The sequence below is a fragment of the Homo sapiens genome, chromosome 14 (assembly GCF_000001405.40).
Source record: "Homo sapiens chromosome 14, GRCh38.p14 Primary Assembly".
In the NCBI taxonomy this organism is placed as follows: Eukaryota; Metazoa; Chordata; class Mammalia; order Primates; family Hominidae; genus Homo; species Homo sapiens.
The window spans coordinates 105575940-105589157 of record NC_000014.9 but is presented as its reverse complement, the minus strand read 5'-3'; the positions used below and the strand labels follow the sequence as shown (position 1 = coordinate 105589157).

At 58.1% G+C, this 13218-nt stretch overlaps 1 gene segment (V, D, J or C) and 1 further gene; both read left to right on the top strand.

Annotated features, from left to right (window-relative positions):
* The window catches only part of IGH (immunoglobulin heavy locus), a 1293408-nt gene extending 1290687 nt beyond the window's left edge, over positions 1-2721 (top strand).
* On the top strand, positions 764-2221 carry IGHA2 (immunoglobulin heavy constant alpha 2 (A2m marker)). The segment is given in 3 exon segments: positions 764-1066; positions 1284-1604; positions 1827-2221. Coding segments are annotated over 3 exon segments (1019 nt in total).
* Positions 2722-13218: the final 10497 nt, after the last annotated feature.

The window sequence follows — 13218 nt, the reverse complement described above, 5'->3', positions numbered from 1 at the left end:
GTGGGTTGAGTGTGACTCCACCTGCAGAGCCCTGAGCCCAGCTGTGTTCTTAGGGGTTCTGAGGGCCACGCAGCTCTGTTGCACCATGATTCTGTCTTCTCTCTTGCCCACTGCCTGAAGGAAATTTGGAGTGGGCTGGGCCCAGAGCTCCCCTGGGTAACAGGCCCTGTCCTGGAGGGCCTGGCAGGGACATGGCTTAGCCTGTTGGCCTCTAGTCCCGAGACCTCATAGGCCACAGGGGTCCACTGTGGCTTGTTTGGGCCTGGGGTGGGGCTCATGGAGTGGTGGGTGTTGGACTGAGACTCTGACCAGGGACAGGGGGATGGGGTCACAGCCAAGCCACTCCACCCCTACCCCATGCACACAGCACTCAGAGCCCAGGCCCCCTCCTCAGAGCCCCCACCAAAATCCTCTCTAGGGGCAGGGGAAAGAGCAAGACATGTCCCCCACCCAGAGCAGGAACTGGGGTCAGGGAGCTCAGGGGACTCAGCCACTCCATGGCAGAGCCCTGTTTAATATAACTTGTGTCTGGGATGGCCTGGGTCAGAGGCCCTATCTAAGGAGCATGTTCAGAAACTGTGTCGCTGGGATGAGACAGCTGGGTCCAACCGCAGGCCCATGGTGCAGGAGCTGTGTAACCTTGGGGCTGTCACCAGGCCTCTCTGTGCTGGGTTCCTCCAGTGTAGAGGAGAGGCAGGTACAGCCTGTCCTCCTGGGGACATGGCATGAGGGCCGCGTCCTCACAGCGCATTCTGTGTTCCAGCATCCCCGACCAGCCCCAAGGTCTTCCCGCTGAGCCTCGACAGCACCCCCCAAGATGGGAACGTGGTCGTCGCATGCCTGGTCCAGGGCTTCTTCCCCCAGGAGCCACTCAGTGTGACCTGGAGCGAAAGCGGACAGAACGTGACCGCCAGAAACTTCCCACCTAGCCAGGATGCCTCCGGGGACCTGTACACCACGAGCAGCCAGCTGACCCTGCCGGCCACACAGTGCCCAGACGGCAAGTCCGTGACATGCCACGTGAAGCACTACACGAATTCCAGCCAGGATGTGACTGTGCCCTGCCGAGGTCAGAGGGCAGGCTGGGGAGTGGGGCGGGGCCACCCCGTCCTGCCCTGACACTGCGCCTGCACCCGTGTTCCCCACAGGGAGCCGCCCCTTCACTCACACCAGAGTGGACCGCGGGCCGAGCCCCAGGAGGTGGTGGTGGACAGGCCAGGAGGGGCGAGGCGGGGGCACGGGGAAGGGCGTTCTGACCAGCTCAGGCCATCTCTCCACTCCAGTTCCCCCACCTCCCCCATGCTGCCACCCCCGACTGTCGCTGCACCGACCGGCCCTCGAGGACCTGCTCTTAGGTTCAGAAGCGAACCTCACGTGCACACTGACCGGCCTGAGAGATGCCTCTGGTGCCACCTTCACCTGGACGCCCTCAAGTGGGAAGAGCGCTGTTCAAGGACCACCTGAGCGTGACCTCTGTGGCTGCTACAGCGTGTCCAGTGTCCTGCCTGGCTGTGCCCAGCCATGGAACCATGGGGAGACCTTCACCTGCACTGCTGCCCACCCCGAGTTGAAGACCCCACTAACCGCCAACATCACAAAATCCGGTGGGTCCAGACCCTGCTCGGGGCCCTGCTCAGTGCTCTGGTTTGCAAAGCATATTCCCGGCCTGCCTCCTCCCTCCCAATCCTGGGCTCCAGTGCTCATGCCAAGTACAGAGGGAAACTGAGGCAGGCTGAGGGGCCAGGACACAGCCCAGGGTGCCCACCAGAGCAGAGGGGCTCTCTCATCCCCTGCCCAGCCCCCTGACCTGGCTCTCTACCCTCCAGGAAACACATTCCGGCCCGAGGTCCACCTGCTGCCGCCGCCGTCGGAGGAGCTGGCCCTGAACGAGCTGGTGACGCTGACGTGCCTGGCACGTGGCTTCAGCCCCAAGGATGTGCTGGTTCGCTGGCTGCAGGGGTCACAGGAGCTGCCCCGCGAGAAGTACCTGACTTGGGCATCCCGGCAGGAGCCCAGCCAGGGCACCACCACCTACGCTGTAACCAGCATACTGCGCGTGGCAGCTGAGGACTGGAAGAAGGGGGAGACCTTCTCCTGCATGGTGGGCCACGAGGCCCTGCCGCTGGCCTTCACACAGAAGACCATCGACCGCATGGCGGGTAAACCCACCCACATCAATGTGTCTGTTGTCATGGCGGAGGCGGATGGCACCTGCTACTGAGCCGCCCGCCTGTCCCCACCCCTGAATAAACTCCATGCTCCCCCAAGCAGCCCCACGCTTCCATCCGGCGCCTGTCTGTCCATCCTCAGGGTCTCAGCACTTGGGAAAGGGCCAGGGCATGGACAGGGAAGAATACCCCCTGCCCTGAGCCTCGGGGGGCCCCTGGCACCCCCATGAGACTTTCCACCCTGGTGTGAGTGTGAGTTGTGAGTGTGAGAGTGTGTGGTGCAGGAGGCCTCGCTGGTGTGAGATCTTAGGTCTGCCAAGGCAGGCACAGCCCAGGATGGGTTCTGAGAGACGCACATGCCCCGGACAGTTCTGAGTGAGCAGTGGCATGGCCGTTTGTCCCTGAGAGAGCCGCCTCTGGCTGTAGCTGGGAGGGAATAGGGAGGGTAAAAGGAGCAGGCTAGCCAAGAAAGGCGCAGGTAGTGGCAGGAGTGGCGAGGGAGTGAGGGGCTGGACTCCAGGGCCCCACTGGGAGGACAAGCTCCAGGAGGGCCCCACCACCCTAGTGGGTGGGCCTCAGGACGTCCCACTGACGCATGCAGGAAGGGGCACCTCCCCTTAACCACACTGCTCTGTACGGGGCACGTGGGCACACATGCACACTCACACTCACATATACGCCTGAGCCCTGCAGGAGTGGAACGTTCACAGCCCAGACCCAGTTCCAGAAAAGCCAGGGGAGTCCCCTCCCAAGCCCCCAAGCTCAGCCTGCTCCCCCAGGCCCCTCTGGCTTCCCTGTGTTTCCACTGTGCACAGCTCAGGGACCAACTCCACAGACCCCTCCCAGGCAGCCCCTGCTCCCTGCCTGGCCAAGTCTCCCATCCCTTCCTAAGCCCAACTAGGACCCAAAGCATAGACAGGGAGGGGCCGCGTGGGGTGGCATCAGAAGCAGGCCAGTGAGACAGGGCCTGCCCAGGGCCCTCTGCATGCCTCTGGCTTCTGCCTGGGGCTCCCAGGAGTGAAAGAACAGTCCCACAACCACTGTGGGGACACCTGGCACCCAGACTCCCACAAGGGGGCAGTGAGGCCCCTGCTCGTGCCTTAGACATCTTCCGGGCCTCCCCAGGGGCCCCCGCCTTCTGGCTGCCTCCCTCTGCTCTCAGGGCCAAGGTGAGGTGGAGGCCACTGTCACCCCTGAGGGTCCAGTCACCAGAGGGTAATTGAGAGCAACAGGTCACTTGGGGAAGCCCTGCCACAGAGAAGCCCTCCAGCCCATGGGACCCAGGACCTGGCCTGGGGAGGGGCTTTTAAAGAGAGGGGGAAAGAGAGAGAATCAACAGATGAGGGGCTGAACCAGCAGACAGAGATCAGGCAGACACATGGGTAGATCCTAGGACATATAATGAATGGATGGGTGGATGGAGGGTGGGTAGATGAAGGATGGATGGGTGGTAAAATGGATGGGTGGGTAAATGGCTGGATGGAGGATGGACGGATGGATATGTGATGGATGGATGGATGAAGGATGGGTGGATGGAGGATGGATGAGTGGATGAAGGATGGAAGATGGATGGACTGATGGATGGATGATGGATGGATGGATGATGGATGGGTGGGTAGGCGGATGGAGGATGGAAGGGTGGATGGAGGATGGAAGATAGATGGAGGGGTGAATGGAGGATGGGTGGATGGAGGGAGGATTGAGGATAGATGGGTGGGTGGGTGGGTAGATCTATGGAGGCTAGGTGTATGGAAGATAATTGGATGGAGAATTGCTTTATGAATGGATGAATGAAGAGATGGAAAATAGCTTTATAGATGGATGGATGGATGGATGGATGGATAGATGGAAGAAGGATGAATGGATGGAAAATAGCTTTATAGATATATGGGTGGATATTTAAGTGATAGCCTTACATTAATAGATGAATGGACGATGAATGGATGGGTGAGTGGGTAGGAGTGTTACTGATGGAGGGGTGGATATACGGATAATAGCTTTATAGATGGATGGATGGATAGATGGACGGAAGGATAGAAAGACAGGTGAATGACTGGATGTATCAGCATATGACAAGCAGGTACAGCTGTACATGGGAGGTCTATGCCCTGAGACCCTGAGGAAAATGAGGATGCCCGTGCTGGTGGCCCTCACCTGGCCCTCGCTTGTAACCCCTCAGCCACATTCCCTGGGAAGGCAACAGAGGCCTCTGGTCTTGCCCATTCAACCTTTGGCACACTGAGTGTCAGACCCAGGTCTCTGTCTTGGACCCAGATCTCCTTGAGGGTGGGTGTGTCTGGTCCTCTCTGGCCCCGGGACCCAGTCACTGAATACGTGGCTGGGACTGAGACGGGGTGGGGTGGGAGGGGCGGGAGGGTACCTCGGGCTCAAGCTTCCCTTGGAGAAGCAGATGGTGTCCACTTTCTGCCCTGCCAAGTCTCTCCCTGAAGTGCCCTAAGAATGTCAAAGACAGAAGGTCCCAGCCCCTCACCTGGGACCCTGCCTCCTCATCCTCCCTGGGGGAGTCTCAGGCCTTAGATGGGGACCCAGACCCCACTGTCCCCAGACCCCAAGGAAGCATAGCCGCTGTTCACACGAGTCTGGGAGTCTGGGCCTGGCAGGCTCTTGCTGTGTTGCAGATTGGCAGATGCCGCCTCCCTATGTGGTGCTGGACTTGCCGCAGGAGACCCTGGAGGAGGAGACCCCCGGCGCCAACCTGTGGCCCACCACCATCACCTTCCTCACCCTCTTCCTGCTGAGCCTGTTCTATAGCACAGCACTGACCGTGACCAGCGTCCGGGGCCCATCTGGCAAGAGGGAGGGCCCCCAGTACTGAGCGGGAGCCGGCAAGGCACAGGTGGGAGCCCAGGAGGGGGATGAGCCCACAGTAGATGGGGTGGGCTGCAGTGATTGGCTAAGAGGAGAGCACCACCTGCTCCCACTGTGGGGGGACGTGCTCTCCTGGGGGCCCTTCACAGACACTGAGGACACGCGCAGGCCCAGGGTCAGGGCTGAGCTTCCCTCCAGTGCAGTAACGAGGATTCCGTCCAGGCTCCCATGAGCCAGGCCAGGGCTGAGACAGAGGGCGTTGGCAAGGATGCTGCTCCTTCAGGCTGTGACCCCTCTGTCTTTGCAGGGAGGAAGTGTGGAGGAACCTCTTGGAGAAGCCAGCTATGCTTGCCAGAACTCAGCCCTTTCAGACATCACCGACCCGCCCTTACTCACGTGGCTTCCAGGTGCAATAAAGTGGCCCCAAGGAAAATGTTCACAGACTCTGAATGAGGAGACGGGGGTCAGGGAAAGGGTGGTGGCTTTAGACTGGAGAACGCCTGCTTCAAAGTCCCCCTGGGTGTCATGGTGGTCATGGTGGGCATGGACAGAGGGTACCCCTGGTCCCAAAATCAAGAAATGACCTGATCTTGAATGAGGCTGAGGCCCAAGGATGAATGCTGGATTCACCAGAGACCATGGCAAAGAAGCCTGCTCCTAAGAACTACATGGGATCCCTATTCCTCATAACCTAGACAGCCCTGGTCCTCCTCACTGGGTCCTCATCCTGATCACAGGGCCCTGGTCCTGACCAGTGGGCCCGTTTACCGATCACTGAGCTCTGGTCCTACTACTTGGTCCCTGTTCCTGATCACTTAATTCTAGCCTTGATCACTGAGCCTTAGTCCTGATCACTGAGTCCTACTCCTGTTTTTTGCCCTGGACCTCGTCACTCAGCCCTGGTCCTTGTCACTCAGCCCTGGACCTCATCACTCAGCCCTGGTCCTGGTCACTCAGCCCTGGTCCTCGTCACTCAGCCCTGGACCTCGTCACTCAGCCCTGGTCCTCGTCACTCAGCCCTGGACCTCGTCACTCAGCCCTGGACCTCATCACTCAGCCCTGGACCTCCTCACTCAGCCCTGGTCCTCATCACTCAGCCCTGGACCTGATCACTCAGCCCTGGTCCTGGTCACTCAGCCCTGTTCCTGATCACTGAGCCCTGGTCCTGATCACTGAATGCTGGTCCTGATCACTGAGCCCTGTTCCTGATCACTAACCCCTGTTCCTGATCACTGAGCCCTGGTCCTGATCACTGAGCCCTGGTCCTGATTACTGAGCCCTGGACCCAGTCACTGGCCCCTGTTCCTGATCACTGGGCCCTGGTCCTGATCACTGAGCCCTGTTCCTGATCACTGAGCCCTGGACCCAATCGCTGGGCCCTGGTCCTGATCACTGGGCCCTGGTCCTGATTACTGAGCCCTGGTCCTGATCGCTGGGCCCTGTTCCTGACCGCTGAGCCCTGGACCAGATCATGGATCCCTGTTCCTGATCACTGATCCCCGGTTCTTTTCTTATACATATTCATTTTGAAATCTGATTCCTTTTCTGAGCATGTATCAGTCTGACTAGACACTGAGTCCTGTCTGATTTCTGAGCCTTGGCCCTCATGAGTAAGTGACCTGCAGTGGTGGAGGGAGGCCTCCAGGGGAGCCGAGACCCTCTCAGTGCATGTACTCACTGGTAGATGAAGAAATGACCCCAATGACTTGCTCCATTTTTCCAGGCTCAGAGGGGTGTGTAGGCCCCAGGAGGACTTGGTGGGGAGAGGACCAGCCCAGGCCCTGTGAGCTACACCCAGCCCCAGCCCCTAAGGGGTCGCCAGGTCTCGACTTAGCACTGGGGAGGGGGTACAGTACAGGAGTGGGGACAGGAAGGTCGGGGGAGGCCATGCTGTTTGTATTCTCTTGCTTTTCTCTCTCTCCTGAAGCCTCTTGTACCCCATCACCTGCAGAAATATCCAAAATAGCCCTGTGGGGCGGCTGAGTCATTGTGAACACAGCCCAGGCCAGGTGTTCCAGCCAGAGAACTGCTGTTCTGAGAAACATGCCCCAAAACCGAGACCTGGCCAGGTGTGCCTGGGGCCTGAGCGAGGGGCTGCAGCCACAGGGAGGCCCAGCCCCAACCAGCCCGGGGTCAGCTAGGGCTTTCCAGGTCCAGGGTTAGGCAGAGGTCAGCCAGGGTCAGCCAGGATCAGCCAGGGTCAGCCAGGGTCATCTGGGGTCAGCCAGGGCCAGCCAGGGTCAGCCAGGGTCATCTGGGTTCCGCCAGGGTCAGCCAGGGCCATCTGGGGTCATCTGGGGTCAGCCAGGGTTCCGCCAGGGTCAGCACAGGCCATTGTCCCCCTGTCCGGGCTCTCTAGGCGGCAGGCCTCCTCCATGGGCAGCCCTCACGAGGGCTGTGCCCACCACACAGCAGACCCAGGGAAGCACCAGCACTGAGCATCTGGCAGTGACTGTGGTGGGCCTCACACCCTGCACGCACCTCCCTCAGCTCTCCCCAGGGCCCTTGGCCAGAGCCAGGACGCAGTGCCCAGCCCTGGGGCTTGAGCGGCTGCCCTGGCAGGCTGTGCCCAGCACAAGCACGGCCCACAGGACCACAGAAGGACCTGCACCCCACACCAGGGAAACAGGGGTTCTGGGAAGGGGACATTGGACCAGGGGCCCAGAGAGACACAGAGACATAGAGAGAGACAGGGACAGGGAGAGACAAGAGACACAGAGACATAGACAGAGACAAGGATGGGGAGAGATAAGAGACACAGAGACATAGAGACAGGGATGGGGAGAGAGATAAGAGATGAAGAGACATAGAGAGAGACAGGGATGGGGAGAGATAAGAGACACAGAGACATAGAGAGAGAGAGACAGGGATGGGGAGAGACAAGAGACATAGACAGAGAAAGACAAGGACAAGGAGAGATAAGAGACATAGAGACATAGAGAGACAGGGATGGGGAGAGAGATAAGAGATGAAGAGACATAGAGAGAGACAGGGATGGGGAGAGATAAGAGACACAGAGAGAGAGAGACAGGGATGGGGAGAGACACAGAGACATAGACAGAGAAAGACAAGGACAAGGAGAGATAAGAGACACAGAGACATAGAGAGACAGGGATGGGGAGAGATAAGAGACACAGAGACATAGAGAGAGACAGGGATGGAGAGAGACACAGAGACGTAGACAGAGAAAGACAAGGACAAGGAGAGATAAGAGACACAGAGACATAGAGAGACAGGGATGGGGAGAGATAAGAGACACAGAGACATAGAGAGAGACAGGGATGGGGAGAGACAAGAGACATAGAGACAGGGACAAAGACAGACACAGAGAGAGAGATGGGGATGGAGAGAGATAAGAGACAGGGACGGGGAGGGACAGAGACACAAGAGACAGAAAGAGAGAGATGAGATGAGATAGATAAGAAACAGAGACAGAGATGGGAGAAAAAGGGAGGAGATGGGAACAGGGAAAAAGAGACATGGAGACAGACATGCAGAGAGAACACAACAGAGGCAGAGAACACACAGGGAGAGAAAGAGGCAGCAAGATGGGCCCAGGAACTCAGGTGCAAGCCCCTCTCACACAGTCATACTCACAAACACACACCACGACTATTATACAACATTCACACACAAACACACAGAAACATACCCATGCTCACAGCCACACACTAAGTCACTGTCACATCCATACCCACACTCACACCCAAACACACATGGCCCAGGAGCAAATGGGGAGACCTCAGCCTGCAGCTGGGAGCGGCTGAGCGGGTGCTGGGCCAGAGTCGGGGCCTGTCTGTGGGTGGGGGGCACGGCAGCACGGGCCCACCTGCACCTACAAGGCCTGGCCCCCGAGGTCACTGGGCCACCACCCAGCCCTCGCCCTGTTCCCCGTCTGTGCTGGACGGGGCAGGCCTCTGAGCCTCCAGGAAACCTGCAGATCCACACAGGACCTGGAACATCGGGCTGGGGTGGGTAACAACATGGGAGAGGCGGGAGCAGGAGGTCCCAGGACCCTGCGCACTGCGACCCCAGCCCTGGGGGCTGAAGCCCAGGACAGCCTCAGGTCTCCCAGGAGGGACTGGACAGTGGGGGATGGTCAGAGAACAGGACAGCCAGCAGGGTGCAGCCCGAGGACAGGGATGGACGCTGGGAGGTCAACAGGACAGGGGCAGGAGCTGTGGAGTGGGCAAAGGTCCTGGAGGGCCTGGAGAACCTGTGGGTCCGTGTTTGTGGGAAGGAGGCCAGGAGCAGCCCAGAGTGGCCAGGCTGGCAGGGGTGAGGAGGTGGGGGCAGTGAGGTGAGGGTGACCGAGACAGTGAGGCCTCTGGCCAGGGAGGGGACCTTGGCTGGGCTCTGACTGAACCCAGGGCTCCTGGAGAAGGGGCCCCAGGCGGGGATGAGGATGTGGGCATCTGACTCCATCAACAATGGGGCTTCCAACACGCACAGCCTGGGCCTCGGAGACCTGGGCCCTGACCCGCCTCCCCCTGGCACTGGGCCGGGTGCCGTGTGTGGTCCCCAGTCCCCGCAGCACCTCCCCCACACTGGTCACGTTCCAGGGCCCCTCTGAAGCACCTGCTGTGAGGGGATGTGGGGAGGGGACAGGGACTTGGGCCTGAGCTGCCGGGTCGGGGGGGAGTCGGGGACCCAGGCTCAGCGTGTGGCTGCGGACCAGACAGATGGGGATGGAGGAGGACACGCCCTGTACCCACTGCCTGCCAAGGGGCTGGACCCACGCCCAGTCTAGGCCATGTCCCCCGAGGCCTGTGAACCTTCACTCTGAGCCACTAAAACATTCAGGAGCTTTGAAAGCAGCCCCCGTCCTTGTCACTATGCGATGACTCTGAGCATCACGCTGTCCCTGCTGGATCCACCCTCCAGCCCCAGCGAGGGAGGCTGGGCCCCGGGCAGCAGGTGGTGAGGGCAGCGGGCACAGCCACGCTACAGCACACACAGGGTCTCAGGGACGCGTCCACCACAGCCCGTGCACAGGCTCCTCACGGCACTGAGTTCACCCGGGGCGCGGGCCGTTTGTCCTCAGGAGTCCGGCTGTGCCCTCCGCCCCCAGCCCTGTCCTGCTGAGGCTGCAGCTGGGTCCCGGGGCACAGGGCGGCCCTGAGCACCTTGTCATGTTGGTCCCTGTCGGGTGGGCTGCTGGCTGTCTGTGGAGCTGGCAGAGCCGCGGTTCAGCCTTGGAGGCCGGTCCTGGGGCCCAGCAGCCGTGGGGAGCACTGCCCAGTCCCGTGCCCACAGGGAATCACCTGGGCTGAGGAAGGGCCCACACGCCGACGGGATCGGGGTCAGGCAGCGCACGCCTGGCACCGAGATCCCACGTCCCGAAGTGGGGACACGGCCCAGGGGCACTGTTCCGGGAGGGTCTCAAGATGGGGTCTCCTATTTCAATCTTCACTCCTTCTGCACCTGTTAGCTGGGAACCTTCTAGAAGGAGGGGTGTCCTCAATCATGGGGTGGTTGTGAGCTGAGCACAGATCATGCAGGAAGGTACATGGCTTCTCCTTCACCAGGAAAACAGTGCAGAGAGACAGAGACACAGAGACAGAGACAGAGTAACAGAGAAAGACAGACGAGAGAGAGACACAGAGACACAGACAGAGTAACAGAGAAAGAGAGACAGAGAGAGACAGAGACAGAGACAGAGTAACAGATAGAGTCACAGAGAGACAGAGAGAGAGACAGAGTAACAGAGAAAGACAGAGACAGAGACAGAGACAGAGTCACAGAGAGACAGAGACAGAGAGAGAAACAGAGACACAGAAAGAGACATGCAGACACAGAGACAGAGATGAGGAGTTACAGAGAGACAGAGAGATAGAGACAGAGATAGAGAGACAGAGACAGAGAGAAAGAAACAGATACAGAAAGAGACATTGACAGAGACAGAGAGAAAAACAAAGACACAGAGACAGACACACACAGAGACAGAAAAAGACAGAGATAAAGTTACAGAGAGACAGAGATACACAGAGACAGAGAGACAGATAAAGAGAGACAGAGATACAGACAGAGACAGAGAAAAACAGAGATAGAAACAGAGAGACAGAGATAAAGTTACAGAGAGAGAGAGCAAGACAGAGATAAAGAGAGACAGAGACAGAGTGAGAGAAACAGAAGCAGTAAGAGATAAAGAGAGTTACAGAGACAGAGATAGAGAGAGATCAAGAAAGAGAGACAGAGATAGAAAGATACACACAGAGAGATAGAGATACAGAGAGACAGAGATAGAGAGACATATAGAGAGACAGAGATAGAAAGATACACACAGAGAGACAGAGATACAAAGAGACAGATAGAGAGTCACTGTCACATTCATACCCACGCTCACACACTCACACTGAGCTTCCCTCAAGCCCTGTCACTTCCTATGGGGCCCACGGCATGTCCAAGCCTCTGGGCCACCAGCCTCATGGCTCACTGCTGTGTGCCCACCACACCCCGCCTCAGAGGTCCCCTCTGTGAGCTGGGCACGTGCCCTACACTCTGCTCATGGGTGGTCTGGGGAAACAGGGCCCACCCAAGGCCTGGCTCAGGAAAGGCCCCAAACACACATGGCCCAGCAGCAAACGGGCAGAGCTCAGCCTGCAGCTGGGAGCGGCGGAGCGGGTGCTGGGCCAGAGCCGGGGCCTGTCTGTGGGTGGGGGGCACGGCAGCACGGGCCCACCTGCACCCCCCAGGCCTGGCCCCCAAGGTCACTGGGCCACCACCCAGCCCTCGCCCTGTTCCCTGTCTGTGCTGACCGGGGCAGGGCTCTGAGCCTCGGGGAAACCCACAGACCCACATGGGATGGAGAGACAGAGATAGAGAGAGACAGGGAGAGACAGAGAGAGATAGAGAGACAGAGATAGAGACAGAGATACAGAGACACAGAGAAAGACAGAGAGAGATAGAGACAGAGAGATACAGAGAGACAGAGAAAGAGATAGAGAGACAGAGATAGAGACAGAAAGACAGAGATAGAGATAGAGATGAAAGACAGAGATACAGAGAGACAGAGAAAGACAGAGAGATAGACATGAGAGAGACAGAGATAGAGATACAGAGAGACAGAAAGAGAGATAGAGACAGAGCGATAGAGATAAGAGAAAGACAGAGACAAAGAGATACAGAGAGTGAGAGAGACAGAGAGAGAGATAAGAAGAGAGACTGAGATAGAGACAGAGAGACAGAGAAAGACAGAGTTAGAAAGGCAGAGAAAGACAGACAAAGAGAGATAGAGAGAGGAGAAGAGAAACAGAGACAGACAGCAACAGAAAGACAGAGAGGTATATACAGAGAGGAAGAGACAGAGACAGAGACAGACTCAGAAAGACAAAAAGAGACAGAGAAAGAAACAGGGAGAGAGAAAGACAGATATAAGGAGAGATAGAGAGAGGCAGAGCTACAGAGAGGAAGAGACACAGACAAACAGAGAGACATACAAAAACAGAGACACCAAATGACACAGACAGGCAGAGACAGACAGAGATGAAGAGACAGAGAGACAGAGACAGAGGCAGAGAGACAGAGAGACACACACAGGAAGAGACAGATGAGAGAGACAGATATAGACAGAGATACAGAAAGAGACAGAGAGAGACATACACAGGGACACGAACAGACAGACAGAGATACAGAGGCAGAGAGACAGAGATATAGACAGAGACATGGAAAGACAGAGAAGAGAGAGACACACACACAGGGACACAAAGAGGCTGAGATATAGACAGAGATACAGAAAGAGAAGCAGAGAGACAGAGAGAGACACACACAGGGACACGAAGAGACAGACAGAGAGACAGAGGCAAAGAAAGGGACACAGCAAAGGGACAGGCACAGAGGGAGGGATAGACGGGAAGAGAGACGGAGGGATAGAGACAGACACGGGGGAGAGATGGATGGAGAAAGGAGGCACAGACGGAGACACACAGAAAGAGAGAGAGGCCAAGACAGGCAAGATGGCGGGACAAAGCCCAGCAGACGGGCTTGACAGAGATGAGTCAGAGACACCGACAATGGGACAGAGACAGAGATTCGGGCAGGGAGATACCTTCAGAGAGGCAGAGAGACAGGGAGACAGAAGGGTGGCCAGAGACAGGGACAGCGGGAAAGATGGAGCTGGAGGCTCAGATGGAGACGGGTGTGACAGAGCTGGGAGCAGGGAGGCCACAGCCCACGCAGTCCGGGTGCTGCACCCACCACGGCCCCCAGGCCCGGAGACCCA